This window comes from Homo sapiens, chromosome 8, assembly GCF_000001405.40.
Source record: "Homo sapiens chromosome 8, GRCh38.p14 Primary Assembly".
Taxonomy (NCBI): Eukaryota; Metazoa; Chordata; class Mammalia; order Primates; family Hominidae; genus Homo; species Homo sapiens.
In genome coordinates this window covers 43,115,155-43,142,612 of record NC_000008.11, presented here as the reverse complement: position 1 = coordinate 43,142,612, position 27,458 = coordinate 43,115,155, and the positions used below count along the sequence as shown (strand labels likewise).

General features: G+C 44.4%; 2 protein-coding genes across 9 annotated transcripts in view, besides 4 other annotated features; both read right to left on the bottom strand.

Moving 5' to 3' along the window:
• HGSNAT (heparan-alpha-glucosaminide N-acetyltransferase) overlaps nt 1–2,149 on the bottom strand; it is a 62,392-nt gene extending 60,243 nt beyond the window's left edge. For all 7 annotated transcript variants that reach the window (XM_005273409.2, NM_001363227.2, NM_152419.3 and 4 more), the window contains exon 1: nt 1,999–2,149. In XM_005273409.2, the coding sequence (XP_005273466.1) occupies nt 1,999–2,116 (118 nt within the window). In that variant the 5' untranslated portion in view covers nt 2,117–2,149. The remainder of the gene's footprint in view (nt 1–1,998) is intronic.
• Nucleotides 1,170–1,549: a silencer, noted in NCBI's record as "silent region_19165". NCBI's record gives its function as "represses an Ori minimal core promoter by ATAC-STARR-seq in GM12878 lymphoblastoid cells {active_cell/tissue: GM12878}" and the evidence as "EXISTENCE:reporter gene assay evidence [ECO:0000049][PMID:35858748]".
• Nucleotides 1,560–2,349: a silencer, noted in NCBI's record as "silent region_19164". NCBI's record gives its function as "represses an Ori minimal core promoter by ATAC-STARR-seq in GM12878 lymphoblastoid cells {active_cell/tissue: GM12878}" and the evidence as "EXISTENCE:reporter gene assay evidence [ECO:0000049][PMID:35858748]".
• Nucleotides 3,193–3,487: an enhancer, noted in NCBI's record as "tiled region #5985; K562 Activating DNase unmatched - State 5:Enh". NCBI's record gives its function as "activates a minimal TATA promoter and a strong SV40 promoter by Sharpr-MPRA in K562 cells {active_cell/tissue: K562}" and the evidence as "EXISTENCE:reporter gene assay evidence [ECO:0000049][PMID:27701403]".
• POMK (protein O-mannose kinase) overlaps nt 19,179–27,458 on the bottom strand; it is a 29,920-nt gene continuing 21,640 nt past the window's right edge. For both annotated transcript variants that reach the window (NM_032237.5, NM_001277971.2), the window contains one exon: nt 19,179–20,506. In NM_032237.5, coding sequence (NP_115613.1) covers nt 19,736–20,506 — 771 coding nt within the window. In that variant the 3' untranslated portion in view covers nt 19,179–19,735. The remainder of the gene's footprint in view (nt 20,507–27,458) is intronic.
• Nucleotides 25,213–25,771: an enhancer, noted in NCBI's record as "NANOG hESC enhancer chr8:42971985-42972543 (GRCh37/hg19 assembly coordinates)". NCBI's record gives its function as "activates a minimal SCP1, AML or CMV promoter by ChIP-STARR-seq in naive and primed H9 embryonic stem cells {active_cell/tissue: H9 hESC(naive and primed)}" and the evidence as "EXISTENCE:reporter gene assay evidence [ECO:0000049][PMID:30033119]".

Below are 27,458 nucleotides of genomic sequence, written 5' to 3'. Positions count from 1 at the left end.
CAAAGGGATTCGAGTGTGCAGCCGAGGGTGAAGACCACAGCTAGGGAACCACAGCTAGAGACTGTCAGAGTAACGCCAGCGGATTTTGACACCTTTTTTTTTCACTTTGCATTATTTGAATGTGGTTTTTAAAAATAATAATAACAGTCTGTATCACTTACAGACACGACCAAAGGACCCAATTACTAAGCCATCAAATAAGTCATCAAATATGACCTCGAAACTGAGCTTGATGTTCAGCTTCAAGAAAAAGCTGTCACCTTCCCACACAGCAGCTGACCTAAGAAATTCCAGGGCAATACCCCCAGAGCGTTACAGACAAAAGAACAATTATTTCCTTCTCTCTCCTCTGGTCTACCTCGTCTTGGTGGGCAAATTACCAAATAAAGTCACCTTCCAATGGTGCGGGGATAAATGTGCTGCTTGTGTATTACACCTTTATTTCCTTTCCAAATATTTAATTTCTGGTCTAGCTCTCTGCTCGTGAGTTATCTTTGCTGGGCATATTTTTAAAGACATAGTCTACTTTTTTTTTTCTTCAAGCAAATGCTGAATTTTCAAAAAGAAGGAAGATGATGACGTTTTTAGTAGGAAAGCTGTGCGGCCCAAACATGGGCTCCAGGTGACAGGGAAAGCCTTGCGGTCCCAACGCGGCTTCCCCTCACTACGTGTGATTACTATTTACAAACCACCTCTCTCTAAAAGTAAGTGCCCTTTGATAAGCTAATACTGGCGCTAAAATGCAAAGAGTGTTCGGCGGGATCAGTCCCTGACAAATTGTGATCAGGCAGATTACATAACCTCCCCGGGGTCCTTGCAATTTTAAAGGAGGGGAGCGCAGGAGATGAAGGTTGGGTGGATCAAGGATCGCACAAAATGTAATCCTCTGAGCCGCTTTTCCAAAATTCACAACGCCTTTCTCCTCCAGCTTCTGCTTGGAGAGGAGGGGTCGTTTGAACTCCATACACAGACACTAAAACTTCGTATTCTGACCAAGAAAAGGGCGCGAGAGGGGAAAGACAGGTGACTCCCACCGTCCCTCCTACCCAAAGGGGTTTGCGATGCTTGCCCGACCCCTCTGGGAGGGGCGTGTGCGAAGGACCTAGGGCCTGGGGCTCCCCGGTGCAGGGGTCTAGATGGAGACCTGGAATCTGTATTTGTCACCGTTTTCCCCACCGAGTTCGGAGAGCAAGCCAGTTGTGCAATCACGGTATGAGCTGAGCGCCTCTTAAGCCAGCGCACCGGACAAACGCCCGGGGTCCGGGGCCCGGGGCAAAAGCGCCCAGCCCGGCCCCTCCCAGGCGGCGGCGGCGGCGGCGGCGGCTTCCCAGTCACCCTGGAGGGAAAACGCGCCGAGGGGAGACGCGCGGAGGGCTCGCCCGGGACCGGGCTGCAGGCCGCGCCCCCACCGCCTTCTCCGCGGTTCCTCACCCGCCGCACATCCACGCAGGTTCAACCCCAGCGCGGGGCGAACGCGCGTCCCGGCCCCAGGCTTCCCACCCGCTGAAGCCAATGGGTCGCACGGCTCCGGCGCCACGTCCTCGGGGGCGAGGCCCTCAGGGAAGGGACCCTGCTCTAAGTCCCTCCGAACAGTGGACTGGGTGCAGGGGGAGTCCGAGCCCCCCCGATCCTCGGCTGGCCCGCCTCCTGGCTGCCAGTTTGTGGGGTCCCGGCGTCCCGATCCGCGGCCTCTGTTTAGACGGAAGGCGCCAGGACGCAGGCTCCGCTGGGGTGGGCGCCGCCTGGGCGCCCAGGTTCCACTCCGCCGCGGTCCGAACCGCCCCCTCCCCCGCCTCCGCGGGGCCCGGCCGCAGCACCCCGAAGTCCGGCCTCCGGTCTGGGGCGCGGGACCGCGAAGTCGCAGCAACAGCCCAGGCCACGGGGGCGGTTCCGGCCCGGCCTAGCGCTCGGCGCCGCGCACGGAGATAGGGGCGGCGCCGCGGAGAGGAGACGCTGCGCTCGTAGCCGGCCGGGCGGCGGTAGGAGGTGTGCACTCACCTCGTGGCGGCGCGGCCTGGGCATCGCGCCCCGAAGAGCCGCCGGGGGCCAGCAGCGCGGCGCTCAGCACGGACGCGGCCAGCAGCAGCGCGGCCAGCGCCCTGCCCGCCCCGCTCATGCCCGCCGCCCGCTCGGCCGCCCTTGCCTGCCCGCTGCGCCCCGCCCTGCGCTGCTCCGCCGCGGACGCCCGCGCGCCCGTCATCGCCCCCTCCGCTGCCGTCACCGCCGCCTGAGTCACCGCGGGAGGCGGAGGCGCCCGGGAGCCGCGGGCGGGGGAACCTAGGGGCTGGGCCGGGCCATGCTAGGCCCTGCCTTGAGGGAGCTGGCCAGGAAAGAAGCCGAGGCTCTGCGCCCCTGCGTTGGGAGTGTTTGTCTTCGGGAGGAAAAACAGCCGGAAGAGAGGCCCCTGCAGGCCAGGAGCCTTCTTCCCTCGCCCCACCTTCTCCAGCCGCATTCTGCCAAACTCCCGCCCCCGCCGGCCACCCTCCGCACGGGTGTTAGAGCCCTCGGTCCCTGTTTTGGAAAACGCCTCAATAAGCAAGACTGCAAAGTCCCTGCCCCCAAGGCGTTTATTACCCAGAGGGAGAGGCACGACTTAGAAGCCACCAAGCGGCCCCACCTCTTGAAAGAGCCCCCGGCCAGGCTGACGAAGTGGAAGGGAGCAGGTCGAGGAGTGTGCACACCCATTCTTGGCTGTATGCCGGGAGACACTATCGCAGGTATAAGGGACAGGTACAGTAATACCTATAGCAGAGGTGCTTGTAATTGCAAAACCTTGTCAACAAGCTGAATGTCCGCCAGCGAGAAAACAAACTGCCCCACAGCAGGGGAAGTGCTCTACAGCTTCCCGCATCCACATGGATAAATCTCAAAACACAAGGCTGGGGAAAATGCAAATTGCAGAATGCCTTTTTAATATATAAAGCAAAACAATAATGTATGTTGTTTAGGGACATCCATATATGTAATAAAAATACAAAGGCACACATGAAAATGTTGCGGGACTTTTCCTTAGTTCAGCTAAAGACGGTGGAGGTCCTTGTCACACGCCAGGAAAGATTAGGCTCGCAGACAATTTGAAGGGTAAGGCAGGGTTTTATTGGGTGTAAAGGAAGAAAAAGGGGAACAGGGACTCAGCAGAGCCAGAGTTCTCCTAGTTGTAGGCTTCCCACCTCACAGATTAAATCCCAGGTTCTCCCGAGGAAGAGGAGGGCCAGGCTCCTCCCAGCTGCAAACTGAGGAGCGAACTTCTGTGGCTCCACCCCAGAGCAGTGCACAGGCCAGTTGGAGTTTTACCAGGGAACCCTTCCCATCTGGCTCATTCCTCGCTCTAAAGAAGTCTATCTAACTGCCACTAGGATAAGAATAGGGACAAAGACAGATCTTAACTGCTTCCTGCTGATAGGGGGCACTGTTTCGGGAAAATGGCAATCAGATCTCCCTCAGAGGCCTATCTAAGGGTGCCCAGCAGAAGGGGCCATGGTCCGAGCTTCCAGTAGCATGACCGTTTGATGTCCTGAAGGCAAGAAGAGACAAACTGGGTTATTAAACACATATGGCCGGGCACAGTGGCTCACGCCTGTAATCCCAGCACTTTGGGAGGCCAAGGCAGGTGGATCACGAGGTCAAGAAATCGAGACCATCCTGGCCAACATGGTGAAACCCTGTCACTACTAAAAATACAAAAAATTAGCCGGGCGTCATGGCAAGTACCTGTAGTCCCAGCTACTTGGGAGGCTGAGGCAGGAGAATCACTTGAATCCGGGAGGCAGAGTTTGCAGTGAGCCAAGATTATGCCACTGCACTCCAGCCTGGCAGGTCAGGAGTTCAAGACCAGCCTGGCCAACATGGTGAAACCCTGTCTCTACTAAAAATACAAAAATTAGCCAGCAGTGGTGGTGCCTGCCTGTACTCCCAGCTACTTAGGAGGTTGAGGCAGGAGAATCGTTTGAACGGAGGTTGCAGTGAGCCAAGACCACATCACTGCACTCCAGCCTGGGCGACAGAGTGAGACCCTGTCTCAAAAAAAAAAAGAAAAGAAAAGAAACAAGGGGAGGGATAAGGACAGCTCAAAAATCCTGAGGCTTTTTACCAATTTGTACACGGAGAAGGGGGCCAAAAGTCCGAATGGTAAACAACTTTACCCTTTTGCTGGCATGTTGGGCTTCTGGGTTCCCTTCCCCTGAAACCAATCCTAAGCCAGCCAGTTTAAGGTTTAGGAAATTAACTCTTTCCAGTTTGGAAAATGCATCTGAGGGGAGTGTCCCATAGTATGGAGACACAATTAGGATTGTCATTGTGAACCGAGGAGGAGAAAGGAAAAAAGAAGGCATTTTTTCAAAGGAATCCGAAGGGTTCCAGATGCATTTGAAAGTGGTGCAGACTGAAGATAAATGGCTACCCACATAGAAAGAGGGGAGCAGGCATCCCTGGTTCTTTTCCTAGCAAATACCTGGGGTACGTGAGGGATAGAAGGAATAGCGTCCTCTTCCATCCTTGCATCCCCATGCAACCTTCGAAAGTGCTACCATGGGTGCCAAAATGGCTTGCATCCATGAAGCAGGGGTCTAGAGGGTGGGAATTATCTCCTCTACCCATGAATGCCCTATCACCCCTGCTGTCAGTAGTCTTGGAGTTCCCTAGACCTCACTTATGCTCAGGGGTTGAGGGGTTGCATGGACTCCTTCTCGTAAGCCAAATGCTAAGGAAAAACTGTGGAACTGAGTCCTCCAACAAGGGAGAGAAAAGGATGTCTTGTGACACACCCAGATAACTGGTGGCTACAGTTATGTTTGGTAGGATTTGGGTGCATGGTGCTTGGCTTTGGTTAGCTCCCTTGGTCTTACTTTCCCAAAAGGAAACCTCTGGATGATGGGCACCCTATTTATTCCCATTGCCTAGCAGAATTTGCAGGATAATTGCTCATAACTAGAATACTAATCCAGATTTTTTTACATTACCCATCCCTCTTGTTCTTTCTGAGCTGCAGCTGGAGATTGCTGGTTGGTTCACAAGCAGGGTCAGTCTAAAAATGCAGGCAAAAATTTAAAAACAACTGAGTTTAGAATTGAATGACAAATTATGGTAAGTTTTGGAACATAATTTTTCTCCAGGCCTCGTTTTTGTTAAAAAAAAAAAAAAGAAAAGAAAGAAAAGAAAAGAAATTATGATAGGACTCAGTTGTTTGCAAAATAGACTTCAGTCTTATACTTGGCCTGATTATTTACATAAAGTGCAGCAAGAATAATTATTTCTACAAAGGCCTTTTGGACTGGCTTTGATGGAACTCTGTTCCACAAGGAATCTCAGATAAGATAAAGCCAAGCCCAGCCATGAACTGGGCTAATCCTCTCCTCTTAAGTTCCCATGATACACCTTGGGTTGGGTGATCCTCTCCTCTTAAGGTCCCAGGATAAACTTGGAGCTCCTGGACCTGTTAGCAAGTGACATTCTTTACTGACCACAGGTCAGGAACCCTGTACAGGGACTGTGTAGACAAGAGTATGAGGCCAACTTCCCCACTGGGCTTTTATTGGCCCTGCAAGTCGAGATTGATTCTTTAAACAGAAGCATAGCCTTCCAGTGAAAGCCTCGGGAAAATAACCAGTTTTTCCAATTGCGTCTTGTTAACAAAAGATAAATGGATTCCTATCACACCGATCCAGACAACTATATTGCCACAAGTTAAAAATACTCACAGATAGTTTCCAGATTCTAGAGGAACCAGGCCGGGCGCAGTGGCTCACAGCTAATCCCAATACTTTGGAAGGCCAAGGCAGGCAGATCACTTGAGGTCAGGAGTTCGAGACCAGGCTGGACAACATAGTGAAACCCCATCTCTACTAAAAATACAAAAACTACCTGGGCATGGTGGCCCGCGCCTGTAGTCCCAGCTACTCAGGAGGCTGTGGCAGGAGAATCGCTTGAGCCAGGGAAGCGGAGGTTGCAGTGGGCCAAGATCCCTCCACTGTAGTCCAGCCTGGGCGAAAGAGTAACAGTCTGTCCACAAAAAAAAAGGAACCAGGCAAAGAGAAACAAGCATGCTCCAAATCTTGTCCACAGGAGTATACCTCAGTCAATTATTAAAGACCATAAATAGTTTAAAATAAGTTTCCCTGACTCTGAAAAACAAAACAAGGATCAACAATATTCCCAGCAAAAGTCAAAAAGTTTGCTTCAGCTTTGAGTTCAGTCCATTTAGTTCTTGTTTTGCTTGATATTCGTGAACACTTCAGCTCTTTATGAATCCTGTACATTTGCCTTTATTCCAATGTGACAATCTCCAAAGTTATCAGAAACCTGTATTTGAGAGTACCTGCCAGAGTCCTATTGCTTATTATAAACCATCTTTTGAAAATGATTAAAACAAGACAACAATTGTCTGTGACTAGCCAAATGTCCAGGTTAGTTGCAGTTAGAAACACAATTGACAAAGAAGTTTGGCTATCTCTGTGGTTTACAATAACTTAACAACCTTAATTATGGTTGATAGCATATACTTAGACATTAGAGTTTTAGAAATCCCATATAATTTTGGAACATACATTAGCATTATTCACAAAAATATAACCTAAAGAAAACTGAACATCATTTTGGCAATCCCATGTACCTAAACATGTCAAATGATCCTGTTTACCTATTTCTTGGATATTTCAGGGGCACTCCAAACGGTCCAAAAAGCCAAACATCAGGAAAGACAATTTTGAAACTGAAGTTTGATTTGGGAAGGCTGTTAAATATGTTCGAGGTTTAAAGCACTTGATGTTATGAAACAGAATTCCAGATTACCATAAGTTATTTATTTTGCCAAAATGATGACTCAGAAATTTTAAAGAAGCAAAAATCTTTTATAACCCCTTACAAATTTTGCTGAAGAGCAGATCAGTGCCTTAAGAATACCTTGTTGTGCTTTTATTTCAATGCTCAATTTACAGAAAAATCATATAATACCCTTTGAAATTTAGTCAATATGTTCACATAGAAAACCCCTTTGCAAGATTAATTTCCACAATGCTTCCACCACTTGTTTGAACCTGCAACTTCATCCTAATTTAAAACAATCCTTTAACCCTAGGCAAAAATTTACATTTCCATGCCTTCTTATAACCTTTTACAAAAAAACACATTTGGCTGGGCGTGGTGGCTCACACCTGTAATCCCAAGCACTTTGGGAGGCTGAAGCGGGTGGATCATGAGGTCAGGAGTTAGGGACCAGCCTGGGCAACATGGTGAAACCTCATCTCTACTAAAAATACAAAAATTAACCAGGCATGGTGGCGCATGCCTGTAATCCCAGCTACTTGGGAGGCTGAGGCAGGAGAATAGCTTGAACCCAGGAGGCGGAGGATTCAGTGAGCCCTGATCACTCCACTGCACTCCAGCCTGGGCGACAGAGCAAGACTCCGTTTCAAAAAAAAAAAAAAATTTACTGTTCTTACACACCTCGCATATAAATCTATTTCCAGTAGTCTCAATTACATGTTAAAACAGTAACTCCTAGCAATTTTTAATTTTAATGTAAAACTTGGTAAGCTGTTTTGTGTGCCAGATGCAGCCAAGGTTTGACTCCTAGCATAATTAAGGGTGTGGTTAGTTCCATATGTTCCCAGGTCTTAATAATTGTGAAGCCATCAAGACAAATAGTTCTCAAAACCCAAAAAGCAGTTTATAACCTTAAAACACTTAGCAAACCTTGCATCTGGCCTGCATAATTTAGTCCGCCTATTTACATTTTGATGGCATCTGCTTTTTACCAATAATCTTTAAAGCTGTTTTTATTTCTCAAAGATTAAAGTCACATAAACTGAAAGGTACCACAGCTTTTATCTTCTCTTTAAAAAAAATTTGATCTAAGCGCTTGTCTTTCTTTAGGCCAGATTAATTAGAGCTCTTTTTACAGACATCATACACAACATATATATATAGTTACACAGGCAGGCAGAAGAAACCTCAGTCACTGGGTGGGATCCTTTAAGAGACAGGGCTAGGAAAACATGCAGCTATCGAACTAGAAAGGGACTCACTCCCTAAGGCAGGATTGCTAAACAAAGCCTTACCAGGGAGTTACAGGCCATGCCCCCAGATTGTAAAACAAGATGGAGGCCTGCAGTGAAGTTACCTACAAACCACACAGACATGCAAAGCACACCAGTGTGCAGGCCAGTTGGAGTTTCTCTGGGGACCCCTTCCCACCTGGCTGTCTCAGAAAGATAAACATTAAATTCCGGTAAGGGTTGAGAGCAGGAAGGGAGGAGAACCTTAAGGACTTCACTGGCAGTGTTTCATTGCTTAAGTTGGGTGATACGGTGCATTTTGTATTATTTTTTATACTTCTTTGGGTGTCTGAATTATTTGATAATTTTTTAAAGCTACAAGACAATGTGATTAGTGCTATTAGGAGAAGGACAAAATGCTAAGGTGGCATTTGACAGAAGCACCCAGGCTTGTCTGGGAAGGCTTCCAGGAGGACTGTCATTTAAGTTGAGCCCTGAGAGATGTTAGCCAGGAGAAAGCAGGAAGAGTGTTCTCAGGAGAAGGAACAGCCTTTCCAACAGCGCAGAGAAAGTGTCACTTTGTGAAGGAACTGAAAGAAACCTGGGGCAACTGGAGCAGGGTTCTCTAAGGGGAGAGGGGAGAGAGGAGGTGAACTAGATAGCAGAGTTGAGTGCAGGCTTCTTCCTAAGTACAGTAGAAGCTGTTGGTGAGTTTGAAGGTGGAGAATAACTCAGGAAAGTAATGGTCATGAGCTATCTCACAAACTCAAGTTCAGTCAAATGATTTTTCTCAAAGAAAGCCCCTATGCCAGAATGTCAGGACATTCAGGTACTCCCTCTTTCCTCTTTGCCCCCTGCCCCATCGCTCGAAATCCCAGGAGCTGAAGGACGCTGGCATCGGAGCGGTCTGGCCAGGCCATGGCCAACTAGTCATCTTCTGCCTAACACACAGCAGCGGCCCTCTCTAGCCCAGCCCTGGCTTAAACCACAGAAGTCACTGGCTGAATGTGCCCTTCTCTTTTCACTTGGAGGACAGCTTTGTCACACCCTCCATGTCCAGGAGAGTCTGGAGTTCCTGTCTTAGGGCTGTGCATAGCTGTTCCTGTACCTGGAAGACCCTTCCTTACCCAGACACCTCATGGCTCCTCCCTCACTTCATTCAGCTCTCAGGCCAACTGCTGCCTCATTTAAGGAGGCCTTCCACAAAAACCGTTATCTAAAGCTAAAAGGTGCTGGAGCCTCGGATCCTGCTTTTCTTCATTACACTAATCTCCACCTGACATTACGTGTATTTGTCTGCCCCACTTGCACTAGAATGTAAGCTCCATGAAGGCAAGGAGTTTGTCCTGAGGGCAAGAACCTTCTCATTAGACTGTAATACATTAACAAACAGCTCCAAAACCTCATGGCTTACCCCAACAACAATCCCTTTCTTGTTCACACTGATGCCCAACGCTTCATCACAGCAGAAGCGGCGGTGGGAGGACAATGTAGCAAATCCTACACTGGCTCTTCAAGCGCCTATCTAGAAGAGATGTCTATGACTTCCTTCATGTTTCTCTGGCCAGAGCAAGTCATATGGCCCCATGTGATCAACAGATTCAACACCTATTCAACTCTCAGCAACTAGAAAAAGAGGGAACTTCCTTAGTATGATAAAGGCATCTCCAAAAAACCTAACCTGACACTTGCAAAGACCAAATGCTTCCCCCTGTGGATCAAGAACAAAGCAAGGATACACAATAAGGCAAAGAAATATAAAAGCAAACAAACTGGCTCCATTCAAAGATGGCCTGATTGTACATGTGGAATATCTTAAGGAATCTACCCATCAAAAAGCTACTAGAACTCATGAGTTTGGCAAGGTCACAGAATTCAAAGTCAGTATACAAAAATCAATTGTATTTTTATTTTCTGGACATAAACAACTGGATGTTGACACTGAAAAAACTGGAATTTACAATTGAATTTTTTTTCTTTTATGATGGAATTTTTTTTTTTTTTTGAGACAGAGTTTTGCTCTTGTCGCCCAGGTTGGAGTGCAATGGGACAATCTCGATTCACCACAACCTCCGCCTCCTGGGTTCAAACGATTCTCCTGCCTCAGACTCCCAAGTACCTGGGACTACAGACGTGTGCCACTATGCCCAGCTAATTTTTTTGTATTTTTAGTAGAGATGGGGTTTCACTATTTTGGCCAGCCTAGTCTCGAACTCCTGACCTCGTGATCTGCCTGCCTCAGCCTCCCAAAGTGGGAATTTTTTAAATTTAACAAAACAGGTACAAGACCAGAACACTGAAAACTACAAACAATTTAACAAAATTAAGACCTAAAAAGTTGGAGAGATATACTGTGTTCATAGATTGGAAGAATCATTACTGTTAAGATGCCAGTTCTCCCCAGATTGATCTATAAGTTCAATACAATCCCAGTCAAAGTTCCAGGAGTTTTGTTGTTGTTGTTGTTGTTGTTAAAATTGACAAGTTGATTCTAAAAATGTATGTGGAAATGCAAAGGACCTAAAATGGCCAAAACAATTGTGAAAAATAACGAATTTGCAGGTCTTACAACTACCTGATGTTAAGATTTACTAAAAAAGGATAGGTGCCAGGCGTGGTGGCTCATGCCTCTAATCCCAGCACTTTGGGAGGCCAAGGCAGGCAGATCACGACGTCAGGAGTTCAAGACCAGCCGGACCAACACGGTAAAACCCCATCTCTACTAAAAATACAAAAATTAGCTGGGCGTGGTGGCGCATGCCTGTAATCCCAGCTACTCAGGAGGCTGAAGCAGGAGAATCACTTGAACCCGGGAGGCGGGGGTTGCAGTGAGCCGAGATCACGCCACTACACTCCAGCTGGGCAACACAGCAAGACTCCGTCTCAAAACAAAAACAAAAAAAACAAAAAGGGACAGGATAGAGAGCCTAGAAATAAACCCACCCATTGGTTTTTCACCAAGCTGCCAAAGGAATTTAATGAAGGAAAGGATAATCTTGTCAATAAATAATGCTGGAACAATTGGATATCCACATGGAAAGAAACCTTGATTCTAACTGCTACTTGGGAGGCTGAGGTGGAAGGATCACTTGAGTCTAGGAAATTGAGGCTGCAGTGAGCTATGATTGTGCCACTGCACTCAAGCCTGGGCAATAGAGAAAGGCAATCCAAAAAAAAACAACAAAAACAAAAAAACCCTACATTGAGACACTAATCACACCCACTAAAACAGCTAAAATTTAATGGGCTAAAATAAATAACAAGTGTTGGCAAAGATGTGGATCAAATGGAACTCATACATCGCTAGTGGGAAAATAAAATGGCACAACTACTTTGGTAAACAGTTGGAAGTACATGATATTAAACATATACTGACATATGACCATCTGACCAATCAGGTATTTGCTCAAGACAAATGAAAACATATGTCTACACAAAGACTTATATTTTAAGGTTAACAGCAGTTTTATTCATAATAACCCAAAACTGGAAACAATGCAATATCCATCAGCAGGTAAATGAAGAGTGTGGTACATACATACAATGGAATAACTATGCACCAATAGATACAACCTACTAATACATGCAACAACATAGATGAACCTCAAAAACATTACACTGAGCAAAAGCAGACAGACACAAAAAATATATACTATACTATATTACTATATTCTATGGTGTGAATATTTGTATCCCTCCAAAATTCATGTTGAAACTTAATCTGCAATGCAATAGTATTAAGAGGTGGGGTCTTTGGAGGTGATTAGGTCATGAGAGCTCTTCCCTGGTGAATGAGCTTAAGCCCTTTATGAGAGGGGCTACACACAGCATTTGCCCTTTTTTTTTTTTTTTTTTTTTTGCCCATCTGCCCCTTCTACCATGTGAGGACAGTGTTTAAAGCACCATCTTCAAATTAGAAACTGGGCCCTCAGACACCAAACCTGCTAGTGCCTTGATCATAAACTTTTCAGCATCCAGAACTGTGAGAAATAAATTCCTATAATTTATAAATTACCCAGTCTCAGGTATTTTGTTACAGCACCACAAACAGACTTAGACACTGTATGATTCCATTACTGGAACTCTAGAAAAGCAATTCTAATCTTTCTAAAAAGATAGGAAAGAGTCATTGTTTGGAGCCAGCAAAGGGGAAAGGATTGATTGGGATGGGACACATAGGAAATTGCCGGTGTGATAGAAATGTTTTGTCTCTATCTATGAGGATAGTGACACAAGTACATAAATGTATTAAAACTCATTGAAATATACACTTAAAACTGTTGCATTTTATTATATAAAACAATGAGTCAATAAGCTGAGTTTTTAAAAACTCAATAATATTTCTTCCTGGAGTCAAGAATAACTATGAGGTTTCTGGCTTGGGAAATCAGATGTATGCTGTGCCACCTACAGATGAGGAAACACAGAAGCAGATTTTGAAGAAAGAAAAGTTATCTGGGAAATCTTGAGCTTGAGATGTTCTTTAGAAAAATGTTCATTCAAATCTCTTCTCCATTTATTAATTGGACTGTTTGGTTTCTGTATTGAATTACAGGAGTTCTACATGTACACTGGATATCAATTCCTTATTAGATATATGACCTGCAAATAAAATAGATGTAAAGGTCGGGAGAAATAGGAATTTGGGGAAAATCAGCACATATATGGCAAGTGAAGTCATGGCAGAGAATGAGATCACCCAGGTAATGTGTGTAAGGCTGAGAACAGAACCTTCAGGAGCACCAGGGATGGACAGAGACTGAGAAGAAGCCACAGTGACAGGGGGAAATCTAGGAGAGTATGATGTCACAGAAGCCAAGGCTTGTATATTACAAGGAGGAAACAACAAAAGATTATCTACTCAACTAAGCTACCCAGTCCTCAGTAACCCAGTGACAGCAGTTTCAGGGCAGTGGTAGTAGCAAAGGTCCAACTGCCTTGGTTAGAGGAGTCAAGGGAATATAAAGAAGTGTAGGCATTTCAACAAATAATGCTGGGATACCTGGACAGCCAAATGCAAAAGAATGATGTTTGACAGTGACTTTACATCATATACAAAAGTTAAGTCAAAGATCTTAATGGCTCAAAGACCTTATGTAATAGCAAAAACTATAAAATTCTTAGAAGAAAACATAGGAGTAAATCTTCATGACCTTGGATTTGGCAGTGGATTCTTAGATGCAACACCAAAAGCATGAGCAACCAAAGAAAAATGTAGATACATTTGACTTCATAAAAATTTAAAACTTTGTGTATTAAAAGACACTACCAAGGAAGTGAAGACAACCCACCTGGGAGAAAATATCTGCAAAGCATATATCTGATAAGGGACTAGTATAAGGAATACAAAAAGAACTCCTACAACTCAACAACAAAAAAAACCCTGATTTTTAAATGGACAAATTAAAAAATTGGCAAAAAGTCTGCATAGACATTTCTCCCAGGAAGATCTACAAATAGCCAATAAGCATATGAAAAGGTACAACATCATTAGTCATCAGGAAAATGCATGTGTTCATGTACTGGAAGACTTAATAGTGGGAAGATGTCAATACTACCCAAAGCACTCTACAGATTCAATGCAGTATCTATCAGACTCCTAATGGCACAATTCCAGAAATAGAAAAATCCATCTAAAATGCATATGGAATCATAATTGACTCAACAGCCAAAATAATCTTGAAAAAGAAAAAGTTGGAGGTCTCACACTTCTGAATTTCAAAAACTACAAAACTATGGTAATCAAAAAACCGTGAGCCTGGCACTCAACTCCTGCACAACAAAGGACCAAAAAAGCAAGTAGTTAACCACATGTCAGGTAGAGCACCAAAGACAGAACACTATTCAACAGGGAACTTCTGAGGCACAAAGGGAGCAGTAAATAAAGCAGCCAGCATGTCTTGGACTGGCTCAGAAGCAGGAGGGGAATCCCATTTCTGGGAAAAGAAAAGTCAAAGAACTGCAGTGGTCCACATTCGCAGCACAGATGCTGGCACCCACAGGGGATGCCGTCAGCCTTCACAGGCCCTGAGTCCAGTATACGGAGCTGCCTGGAATCCATGCAAATGCGTTCTTCCAGAAAGGGAATTCCACTGGATCCTACTCACATCCCAAGAAACATGCTGCTGTGGCACAGCACCATTTTAAGAGGCTAGCCCCCACCAGATTATATCCTGCCCACTTGGGGTCCAATAAGCCCCTGCAGTCCACATCCCTGGACCCCCAAGAACATCCTCCCACATCCATCCAGAAGGTTGCAGTATCACAATCACCCAGCAGTGCAGCCAGGTCCCCAGTACTCTGACCCATGAAGTGTCTTATATCCCAGGGAACAGGCAGTATAGCACACCAGGGAGGCTACCCCAGGAAAAAGGGAGCTGAAGCTCCCAGAACCTGGGAGCCATCTTCCCAACACCAATGCCACCAACAGAACCTTGCCCCTCTCAGCAGGGCAACAGCATGCCTGTGTGCACCTTCAGGGGGCCTGAGGACCAGTATGTCCATATGTGCCATCCAAGAACCTAAAGACAGGCCTGCTCCACCCACTGTCACCAGTGTTCTCCAGCGCTATCTTTCCCTCATGCCACTACTGGTGCCTATATGCTCTGTAGGGGGGCCTGACGACTGGCCCACCCCATCCAACACCACTGGTGCCCACGCACACAATCCCAAGGCCTGAACAGGCCTGCCCCACCTACCACCAGTGCCCACCCAAGTGCATCACCTAGGGGGCTAGAAACTGTCCCATTCATCCTGCCACAGCTACTGCCAACAGCTATGATTGCCACCTGACAGTCCAGTGTCTAGCCCACTGCTGCTACTGCCACTGCCAGCACCATAAATGCTGCCTGGGGGCTTGAGGACCAGCCCACCTGGGCCCCCCACTACCAGCACTTACACCAGCTGGGGTCCTGAGGACTAGCATGCCCAGCCCATCGCCACCACAGCTAAAGCCTGCCCATGCCACCAAAAGGCCCAGGGACTGGCCCCTCTGGCATCCCTTTCCCCAGAAAAGCCTCACAACAGCCTCAGCTAACAATGGCAACTTAAGCCACTGAGGACTCACAGTGACATGGTTACATGACACCAGTTACATTGGTTACAGCTGAAGAAATCATTGAGCCTACACTCCTGTGCTCACCAGAATCAAAGCCAAAACATCCTAATCACAACCAAAACTACAGATATGCCTACAAAAAAGTCTTTCCTTATGAAAGCCAATCCATAAAATTGGAAGAAGCAACTCTTCCACTAGCTGAATAGATATCAATGTAAGGACACAAGAAACATGAAAAAGCAAGGAAATTTGATACCTCCAAAGAGACACAATAATTCTCCAGTAACAGATTCAAAAGAAAAGGAAATCTATAAAAATGCCAGAAAAGGAATTCAAAATAATGATCTTAGGGAAACTCAGCAAGTTGCAAGAGAACACAGATAATACAAAGTAGGAAAACAATTCATGATCTGAATAAGACAGTCAGTAGAGATAGATATAGAAAAATAACCAAACAAATCCTGGAACTGAAAAATTCAATGAATAAAATTTAAAAATGCAACTGAGAGCTTCAAAAGTACGCTAGATAAAGCAAAACTAAGATTTTCTGAACTTGAAGACAGGTCTTTTGAAATAACCCAGTCAGACCAAATAAATTCTCGGTGTTTCAGGAAAGAGAAGGGAAGAGGCACAGAAAACCTATTTAGCAAAATAACAGTCAAACATTTCTTAAGTCTTGCAAGAGATACAGACATCCAGATACAGGATGTTCAGTAATCCCAAAAAAGATTCAAACCAAAAAGGTCTTCTGCAAGGCACATTACAATCAAATTGTCAAAAGTCAAACACAGAGAGAATTCTAAAAACAGCAAAAGGAAAGCATCAAGTCACTTATAAGAGAATTTCCTGTTTAAAAAAAAAAAAAAAAACTTACAGGTCAGGAGAGAATGGGATAATATATATTACAGTGCTGAAATAAAAAAAACTGCCAGCCAAGAATATTAAACTAAGTAAAGCTATCCTTCAAAATTGAAGGACAAATAAAGTCTTTCCCACACAAGTAAAAACTGAGAGGAGGAGGACCCCAGGCCCTCAGAGGAGCCTCATAGTGAGGCATTATACAGGTCCTGTGAGGGAGCACCATCAAGGGTCCCTCAGGGTTGAGGAGTCGCCTCTGGCATCCCAGGACAACTAGCGATTGCACCCAAGGCAGGAGGAGCAACAGGAGGGCTGCCAAGGTCCAGTTGGAGGCTCAGGTCATGGCCACCCAGGAAATGGAACAGGGAGAAAAGGATCCAGAAACTGATGAGCACAGGGAAAGAAAACCTTTTGCAGAAACAGATGAGGAAGACAAGGGGGTTGATGTAGAGAAGCTACAAGTAATTGCAGCTGCCATTAAACAGGGTCTTGCTGCAAAAAGATAAAGGCCTCAAAAGTATATACAAAAGCTTGCATCAACACCGAGAACATAACTGAATGTTATTTTGAGAACACAGAATGCAGAAATGGAATTATAGATATCCTATACAGTTGCTGACTTTGCTTCAAGAATACAACATAGACATGTAGAAGACTGAGGAGAGGAAGAAAAACTAATTAAAATATTTCAAGAGCAACAAAAGAGGTGGCAACAAGTTAGCATTGTTAGGAGACAGCAAATGAAAGAGATTAAGCTGCTATATGAGCAATTCACGAAGAGTATCATGAAAGAACTCTTTTCAGTGAAGAAAGTCAATTTAAATCGCCAAGTTCCAAGATAAAATTGTGTGAGAGACACTGCAGCAAGAGTTGGCACTAATTCATAACTTGAGCTACACTAAACCACATGACAGTATTTTGATATTCTTGTATAAACCAGTTTATTTCTTCTATCATTAGTCTGTTAAATGCCAGACCTCATTTCTGTGGTCTGTTGAATGAATCCTAGACAGTTCTGTGAGAAAGCAGCAATTACACAGTTATATACATGGTCAGTTAAATTTTAACATTAATGATAATTTAGTTTTAAAAAAAAAATACTGGCCAGGCACGGTGGCTCACACCTGTAATACCAGCACTTTGGGAGGCCGAGGCGGGTGGATCACGAGGTCTGAGGCGGGCAGATCACGAGATCAGGAGATCGAGACCATCCTGGCTAACATGGTGAAACCCCATCTCTACTAAAGATACAAAAAATTAGCCGGGTGTGGTGGCAGGCACCTGTGGTCCCAGCTACTTGGGAGGCTGAGGCAGGAGAATGGTGCAAACCCGGGAGGCAGAGCTTGCAGTGAGCAGAGGTTGTGCCACTGCATTCCAGCCTGGGTGACAGAGTAAGACTCCATCTCAAAAAAAAAGAAAAAACAGGGAAATCATCACAACCAGATCAGCCCGACAAGAAATGCTTAAGGGAATCCTACATCTGGAAGAGAAAGCCATACTGAGGCAGGAAAGTAAAGAAAGAAAAATAAAATTAAAAAAAGAAAAACAAGCTTTCTATATTAGGCTGACTCATCCCAAAGGCAGTTAACAGTCAAAGCCTGGACCCAGACAAAGTCTCGATAACATTATCAAATAAGCAAAGGCTCAAAGGAATGTGCTCTGGAGACTCTCCCAGCACTTCCTCAACATAGGGAGAAAAAAACAAATTTTCCTTTCCCTTATGAGTAAACATATGAGTTTATAGATTCCGGTTTTCTGTAACCAGTAACTTCAAGTACTCTGTTTTAACTAAGCAGCACAGTGAAGGTTGTAAGACATGCCTGAGCAGGCCTGGGCTGCGGCAGTCTGGGTGCCATAGCGAACGTTATGAGATAAGCCCATGCAAGGCTCTTTTGAGCAAGCCTAGATAACAGCCATGTGAGCTGCACAGCAAGGGTCATATGTAATCCTGGCTCATGAACCTGTCACAGTTTGATTAGCTGCCTTTGTTCTGCCCCTGTATCTTTGCTTCACGCCACCATAAGCTTGTTTCAAGCTAGCCCACCCCCTTTTAGAAGTGTGTATAAAAGTCAAGTACTGTCTTTGTCTGGGCCCAGTTTTTGAATGTTATCAGCTGGGTCTGAGTGCACTCAATAAAAATCCTCTTGTCTCACCCCATTGTCTCTCCAGTCCTCCTTCATTCCCACATTAATACCACCCTGAACACGCCCAATCTCATCTGATCTTCAAATAGACAGGATGGTATCTACCATCATGAAAACAAACAAAGGCTTAAAACTCACTAATAGAACAGAAACACAAATGAGAAAAAGGAATCAAACATTATGACTATTTAAAAAACCACCAAATTGTAAAGTAAACAATACAAAAGAAGATAGGTGAAACCCCATCTCTACTAAAAGTACAAAAATTAGCTGGGTGTGGTGGTGGGCACCTGTAATCCCAGCCACTTGGGAGGTTGAGGCAGGAGAATTGCTTGAACTTGGGAGGCAGAGGTTGCAGTGAGCCGAGATCCTGCCACTGCACTCCAGCCTGGGAGACACAGCAACACTCTGTCTCAAAATAAAAAATAAAAATAAATAAAAAAGATAGGAAAAAATATATACAAGACAATCAGAAAACAAATGCACAGGACTAAGTCCTCACCTATCAATAAAAACCCTGAATGTAAATAATTTAAATTCTCCAATTAAAATACATAGACTGGCTGAATGGATTTTAAAAAAACAAGATTCAACTATATGTTACCTATAACAAACTCACTTCACATGTAAAAACACATATAGACTGAAAGTGAACAGATGGAAAAAAATATTCCGTGCAAATTTAAACCAAAAATGTGCAGGAGTAGCTATACTTATTCATAATAGACTAAGTCAGAAAACATAAAAAGGGACAAAGAAGATCATTACATAATGAAAAAGGGATCAATTCAGCAAAAGGATGTAACAATTTTAAATATATATGCACCCAATACCAAAGTACTCACATGTATAAACAAACACTATTAGAGCTAAAGAGAGAGGCAGATCCTAATACAAAAAAAAGCAGGGGATTTTAATGCCTCACTTTCAGTATTGGGCAGATCATCTAGAAAGAAACATCAGACTTAATCTGCATTATAGACCAAATGGACCTAACAGACATTTACAGACCCTTTCTTCCAACAGCTGCAGAATATACATTCTTCTCATCAGCACATGGACCATTCTGCAGCATAGACCATATGTTAGACCACAAAACAAGTCTCAATAAATTTTTAAAAATCTAAATCATATCAAGTACCTTCTCAGACCACAATGGAAGAAAAGTAGAAATCAATAACGAGAAACTTTGGAAACTACAAATCCATGGAAATCTAACAACTGGCCAGGCATAGTGGCCCATGCCTGTAATCCCAACACTTTGGGAGGCCGAGGAAGTCAGGAGTTCGGGACCAGCCTGGCCAACATGGTGAAACCCCACCTCCACTAAAAATACAAAAATTAGCCAGGCGTGGTGGTGTGCCTGTAATCCCAGCTACTCAGGAGGCTGAGGTGGGAGAATTGCTTGAACCTGGGAGGCAGAGGCTGCAGTGAGCCAAGATCACATCACTGCACTCCAGCCTCAGCAACAGAGCAAGACCGCATCTCAAAGAAAAAAAAAAAAATCTAACAACCAATGTGGACTACATACAAACGTACATGTGGATGTGGACAACGAACCACATGGCTAAGCCATAAAAAAAACAATAAAACACGAAACTCAGGCAAAAAACTCCACCATCAGAGTAGAATGCTGTAACTTCCATTCAGCCCTTCAATCCCACCTTCATTGGCTGGACTGGTTTTCACAGCATCTCTCTTGCCTGAGACATCATGGCATCTCTAAGTGTATCCAAGACCTTCTGGTAGGTCTCCAGAACGTCCTGGGCAGTGGGTCTTTCTGAGGGAGTCTGGCTCTTGCATGCTTTGTGAATATCAAACAAATGGAATCGGACCATATCACTCCCTTCAATGTGCCCCAGAAGGAAACTGGAGATGTCTGGGATCTTCCAAATGTCAATCTTCTCATCATATGAGGGCATGAGATCATCGTGGAAAGGCACGTCCTCTCCATAGGGCCACAGTTGCTCTGGAGCCACGAAATCCCCATGCAGCTCCCTGTGGCCGCACTTCACCAGCATCCCGGAGCTGTGGTTCACCAGGGGTAAGGCGTCCAAGTCATTTGCCAAAATGCTGAAGTTGCTTGTTAGCAGATACTGGGACAGTGTCTTCGGCAGGTCGTTGGAGTCGCACATGACCCGTGTGCCCACAGGGCTGTGGTGCAGGTAATTAATGATGCTGACATAGTCCATGGCCAGCTCCAGCCTGTGCTGCCACGTGTTCACATTTTGGTACTTTGAAAGGTTTAGTGTTTCTTCCAGGTTACTCAAGGAACCTAGAGGGTGATATTCAGTAAGCATAGTGTTGTCATCCTCACAATAGCCAAGCAGCGTGACAACATGTGTGCCTTGGAGAGATTTCAGCATCTGCAGTCCATGGAGGAAATCATCTTTCATCTCCAGGCTGGTGAGCTGTGAGAGTGCAACTTTGTGCTCCTTCCACTCAGACAGAAAGACCTGCAACAAAGCCATAGAGAGCATCAGGCCTGAACTCTCACCTAATTTAGTGACCAAAGAACAACAAATATCTTTTAAGTGGCAGGTGTTCTGCAGAAGATACAGAAATTAACAAGGTGCAGACCCCATCGTAGAGTTGCTCTCCGTCTAGTTATGAAGAGAGACCGATGAGCAAACACAGCATTCAGCAAGGCAAGTGCCACATTAGTGGGTGGAACCTCAGGGCAGGAAGCGATTGCCTCTGGGCAGGACACTGAGAGCTGCTGCAGAGGGTGCTGGAAGGCTTTGGGAAGCTGGTCTCATAGAACGAGGGGGACCTGCAGATTCAATGTAGGGCAGGGGAGTGCTAGCTCAGGAGGGAAGACTCCATATAACTGCATGGCAGGGAGGAGTGGCAAGTAGACTGCCAGTTCCAATGGACCACCACACAGTGGGTGGGGAGGAAGAGGAGGCAGGGGAGTGGACTGGAAAAGTGGGTAAGTGTGGAGACCCCGAAAAGCCTACATGAGGGCGTAGAGCCCTGCCCATCACGTGTAACAATGTTACTCATTAATTTTAAAAGGTGGCATAGTAAATCATAAATAGGAACATTTATATGTAAGGAAAACATTTTTGCATGTTCTGTGGTTTGGTGTTACTTCAGCTGTAAAGGCAGGAGCTGAAATGCTACATAAACACTAGACCTTCTCATAGAGTCCACAGCTAATAGAAGAGCAAGTTCACATTTCTGCCTTGGATTTTCACCTTTCATTTGCTTGCAGGAAGCACTGTAATTAAAGGAAGAACCTCTGATCTTTTGCTTAAATCCCAAGAGAAGGCAGAAGATTACAAAAGAGAAAGCAGGCTCAGGACTCAGGAGATTCCTGCCCCAGGCTCATTCTGCAAGCAGTGTGCCATGTCATTGTTCAAATAAAGGTTATGGTTTCCAAAGCAGTTTTTTGCATTATTTATCAAGAGACTCTAACATCTAAATCTAAGGCAATAATCGGAAATAGGTAAGAAGCTCCAGGAATAAAAATCTGACATTATTTATAAAAGCATACACTGAAACTTATCAAAAGATGGGAGCAGCATGATCAACATAGTGAGAACCCATCTCTACAAAACATTTTTTAGAAACTAGCAGGGTGGGCCAGGCGTGGTGGCTCACACCTGTAATTCCAACACTTTGGGAGGCCAAGGCGGGTGGATCACCTGAGGTCAGGAATTCAAGACCAGCCTGACCAACATGGAGAAACCCTGACTCTACTAAAAATACAAAATTAGCCAGGCGTGGTGGTGCATGCCTGTAATCCCAGCTACCTGGGAGGCTGAGGCAGGAGAATCACTTGAACCCGGGAGGCAGAGGTTGCCGTAAGCCAAGATCACGCCACTGTGCTCCAGCCTGGGCAACAAGAGTGAAACTCTGTCTCAAAAAAAAAAAAAAAGAAAGAAATTAAGAAACAAGCAGGGTGTAATGGAGCGTACATGTACCCCCAGCTACTCAGGGGAGGCTGAGGTGGGAGGATCATTCAATATATATATATATCATGCGGTCACCAAAATGTATATATTTATACAGTTATAACAGATAAAAGTAATGGTACGGCTGGGTGCGGTGGCTCATACCTATAATCCCAGCACTTTTGGAAGCCAAGGCAGGCAGATCACCTGAGGTCAGGAGTTGGAGACCAGCCTAGCCAACATGACGAAACCTAAAACCTAAAACCTCTACTAAAAATACAAAATTAGCCGGGCATGGTGGTGCATGCCTGTAATCCCAGCTACTCAGGAGGCTGAGGCAGAAGAGTAGCTTGAACCCCAGGAGGTGGAGGTTGCAGAGAGCCAAGATCACACCATTGCACTCCAGCCTGGGTGAACAAGAGTGAAACTCCATCTCAAAAAAAAAAAAAGCAATGTTACAAATGAGAAGTATACAAAACCATTTGTATAATATTGTTCCAACTGCATAAAACGAGACAAATTTAAATTACAGCACATGGAAATCAAAGGAAATATGCTAATGCCTTAGTTGTCTTTATGTGGTAAGATTCTGGGTGATTTTTTTTTCCTTCATATCTTTTGGTATTTTCCAAGATGAACATATATTACTTTTACAACTTAAATTTTTTAACTCAAAAATATATAAAATTTCAGAAAAACTAACATTGGGAATTTAAAAAAAAAAAAAGAAAAAGAAATATTATATAAAATGGAGTTAGACCCAAGGACCATGAAGATCTTTTCTGGATCTAAGAAGGGAGGTTCATTATGGAAAAACCCAGATAACTTTGATTGGCTCATAACATTCAAATGAAAACTCTTTCAAGACTCTCTAATCCTCATATTTGAGAAATTTCACTAAGGATAATAACTTCTATTAAAAAGCTGTTTTTGGGCCGGACGCGGTGGCTCACGCCTGTAATCCCAGCACTTTGGGAGCCGAGGCAAGAGGATCACAAGGTCAGGAGATCGAGACCAGCCTGGCAACATGGTGAAACCCCATCTCTACTAAAAATACAAAATAATTAGCTGGGCGTGGTGGCGCGCGCCTGCAGTCCCAGCTACTCAGGAGGCTGAGGCAGGAGAATTGCTTGAACCCAGGAGGCAGAGGCTGAAGTGAGCCAAGATCACACCACTGCACACCAGCCTGGTTAGAGACTTCGTCTCAAAAAAAAAAAAAAAAAAAAAAAAGCTGTTTTTCACTCTGGCTGCTACATGCACTAAAAATTTCCTAATTTTTAAGGACTAGATAAGACCACATTCTAAAAGTTCAAGATTTTTTTAAATTTTCATATTGAACACACGCTCTCCATAGATTTGCATCCCACTGAATCTGATAATTGGCTCTAATACGAACAACTGAGGTTTTGTTCAGATCCATGGCTTCCTTACGCCCACCTCTGCATGGTCACCACCAGAACTGGCAATGGCTTTGGTTTTCTAGGCCCATTTTTCACCTAAAAACGATGCTGGCTTTTGGGAAGCTGCTGCTACACATTCAACAATAAGTGGGGGGCCGGCCGCAGTGGCTCATGCCTGTAATCCCAGCACTTCAAGAGGCCGAGGCGGGTGGATCACGAGGTCAGGAGATCAAGACCATCCTGGCTAACATGGTGAAATCCCATCTCTACTAAAAATACAAAAAATTAGCCGGGCATGGTGGCAGGTGCCTGTAGTCCCAGCTACTCAGGAGGCTGAGGCAGGAGAATGGCAGAATGGCATGAACCGTGGAGGCGGAGCTTGCAGTTAGCCGAGATCAGGCCACTGCACTCCAGCCTGGGCAACAGAGCGAGACTCCGTAACAACAACAACAAAAAAAACAGTAAGTTGGGGAGGCTCAGCCACAGGCCCCAGGGCTCCTGATCCCTCATTTGTGTCTCATTCATTTTTGTTTCAGATAAATGAAGATTATTAAATATTATTATGAAATACTATTAGTCTTTGAGATCACACACAAATATTTGAATCCTCCAATATAAAAAATTTGCTAGTCATGGACTGTTTAAGAATCATTTCTCACAACCTCTAATTTAGTTGCTTTTAATCATTTTCTAAAAGACTTTTATTTGGAAAGAACAGTTAAAATACTTTACTTTTTTATTATAAAATTAATCGTGAACACTTTTCTTGGTAAAAACTCAAATACAGAGGATAGGCAGGATGTCTCCCTGCCCCCAGTTTTACTTCCCGACCCAAAGGAAACCTGGTAACTGGCTGTCATCCTCCCAGAAGTTTTTCTATGCCTTTATTTATTAATGTACACTTGTAAAACAGCATTTGGGTTTGCTGTTATACTAATGGCGTTATAACATACATACATTGCAGCTCTTTTTTCATTTAACTGAGCCTCAGAAATCCTTTCCATATATACATGTAGATCTAGGCCATTCTTTTTAAAGCTGAGTAATGTTTCATAGTGTGGGCATAATACCTACACTTGTGTATTTCCAGTAAGCTTTTACAGATACTACTACCTTTTTTCTTTAAAATTAAAGTATAATATAATAAAAATACCAGGAATTTGGAATTGATGCTGTCAAAATAGACTGGATTCTTTCTTAAGATTATTATGTAGCTATAATTTTGTAAAGACCTTTAATAAGATCTTATATGATCTATTTCTAAAGACCTGGACATTTAAGTTAGTCCCTTTTCTAATGACAATGCTACAGTGTATAGCCTTATATTTACATGTCTATGTACATGCACAAATATTTTATAAGCTAGGTAGGCAGACAGAATTTACCAAATATCTATTGCCATCATTACCCTCCAAAGTCTGTGCTAGCATGCACTTTCACCAGCAGCGCATGATAGAATCTTAGGAATACACCCTTAGTCACACCAGATTATTACCACTGTTTGTAATTTGTGCCAATCAATGGATGAAAATACCTTACTCTTCTAATTTGTATTTCCCTGATTACTAATAAGGCTAGGCATTTGTCATCTTTTTAGGCATTTCTGTATTTCTGCTGTCAAAAGTCTGTTCACTGTCCTTTATCCAATTTTCTATAGGGTTGTCTGCCTTGTGCTTATTAATTACTGGGAGCTCTTTATATATACTTGACCCTTGAACAACACGGGTTTGAACTGCGCAGTTCCACTTACACACAGATTTTCTTCTGCCTTTACCACCCCTTGGATACCAAGACCAACCTCTTCCTTTCCTCCTCCTCCTCAGCCCACTCACTGTGAAAAAACCAAGGATAAAGACGTTTGCGATGGATGATGGATCCACTTCCACTTAAAGAACAGTAAATGTATTTAATTAACAGTAAATGTATTTTTTCTTATGATTTTTCTTAATAACATTTCTCTCGTCAGGCTTCTGAGCCCAAGCCAAGCCATCGCATCCCCTGTGACTTGCACATATACGCCCAGATGGCCTGAAGTAACTGAAGAATCACAAAAGAAGTGAATTTGCCCTGCCCCGCCTTAACTGATGACATTCCACCACAAAAGAAGTGTAAATGGCCGCTCCTTGCCTTAACTGATGATATTCCACCACAAAAGAAGTGAAAATGGCCAGTCCTTGCCTTAAGCGATGACATTACCTTGTGAAAGTCCTTTTCCTGGCTCATCCTGGCTCAAAAAGCTCCCCCACTGAGCACCTTGCGACCCCCACTCCTGCCCACCACAGAACAAACCCCCCTTGACTGTAATTTTCCTTTACCTACCCAAATCTTATAAAAATGGCCCTACCCCTATCTCCCTTGGCTGACTCTCTTTTCGGACTCAGCCCGCCTGCACCCAGGTGATTAAATGCTTTATTGCTCACACAAAGCCTGTTTGGTGGTCTCTTCACACGGACATGCATGAAATCTACCTATCTTGAAGAATACAGTATATAATACTTATATAAAGTACAGTTAACCAACTATGATATCAGTAGTAGGCTTTTAGTTGTTAAGTTTTTAAGGAATCAAACAGTATAAGCAGATTTCTTATTATGTGGGGGATCAGTGCCCCTAATCTCCACATTGTTCAAGGGTCAATGTATTACCTATGAGATCCTTTATTGCAAATGTAAAAGACAAGATCCAGAAAATAATTAGGCCAGACACAGTGGCTCACACCTGTAATCCTAGCACTTTGGGAGGCCAAGGCAGGAGGACTACTTGAGCCCAGAATTCGAGACCGGCCTGGGCAACATAACAAGATCTCAACTCTTTAAAAAAAAAAAGTTTTAATTAGCCAGGCATGGTGGCACACGCCTGTGGTCCCAGTTACTCAAGAGGCTGAGGTGGGAGGATCACTGGAGTTTGAGGTTGCAATAAGCTATGATCGCACCACTGCACTCCAGACTGGGCAAAAGAGAGAGACTCTGTCTCTGAAAAGAAAAAGAATATAATTAACTTAGTTAATGTGGTCTTACAATATTTTAACTGCTATGTAGTCAAATGTGTCTTCATTATGTCAATAAACATAAATCCCTACCACCATGAAATTTACATACTAGTGCAGTAGGCAAACAATGAATAAAGTAAATAGGAAATGTATAAAGTATATTGGAAAGAGAAATGCGCTTTAGAGAAGAATTAAGCAGGGATGGTTTGCAATTTTAAACGGGGTTGAAGGACTTCTCACTGGGGTGGCCTTTGAGCAAGACCGTGAAGGAGGTAAGGGAAGGAACCACTTGTTATTTGTGGAACTACAGCCCAGACAGAAAACAGCAAGGGCCAAGGGCCCTGGAGTGGCAGCATGCCCACAGGCTTCCAGAACAGCATGGCTCTGATGCTGGAGTAGACCGGACAGGGACCATGGAGCAGGAGAGAGCTGGAGGGAGGCTGTTAAGTCTCGCAGGGCCTTGTCGTTGCAAGGGCTCTTTTACTCAGAATGAGACAGAGAGCACCAAAGGATTTTGAGCAGAGGAATGACACTATTTGACCAATAATTTAGAAGAGGCATTCTGAGTGCTGTGTTCAGAATAGACTGAAGAGGTAGGGAGCAAGTGTGAAGCAGAAAGACCATTTTTGGAGGCTGGTGAAACAATTTAAGTCCAGGGTCAGGGTGGTTTGGGGGGCTGGGCTGGGTCCTGGTGCAAGCCTGAGGAGTGGTCAAATTCCAGGTCTCTTCCAAAAGTAGAAACAATGTAACTTGCTGATGTACTGAAGGTGGATGAGAGAGAGGTCAGGATATTGACAAGATAGGTGGCCAGAACAGCAGGACTGATGGAGTTAGGAAATAATAAAAGGTGAGTAGGCTCTGAGGGAGATCTGTGACGTGGTGAGTTTGAGAAGCCTCTCAGAAACCCCAGGTACATGTCGGGTAGGCAGCTGTATAGAAAACTTCAGGGAAGCAGTCTCTGCACAGATGAAGCCAGAAGGCTGGATGACGTCATGCGGGGTACAAGCACAGAAGACGAGAGGTCCAGGATTAGAAGGGATGGAAGGGATGAGGAGGCAGAGCTGGCAAGAGGCCAAGAAGTGGACACTATTCCTCCATGCTTTAAACAGACTGTTCATGT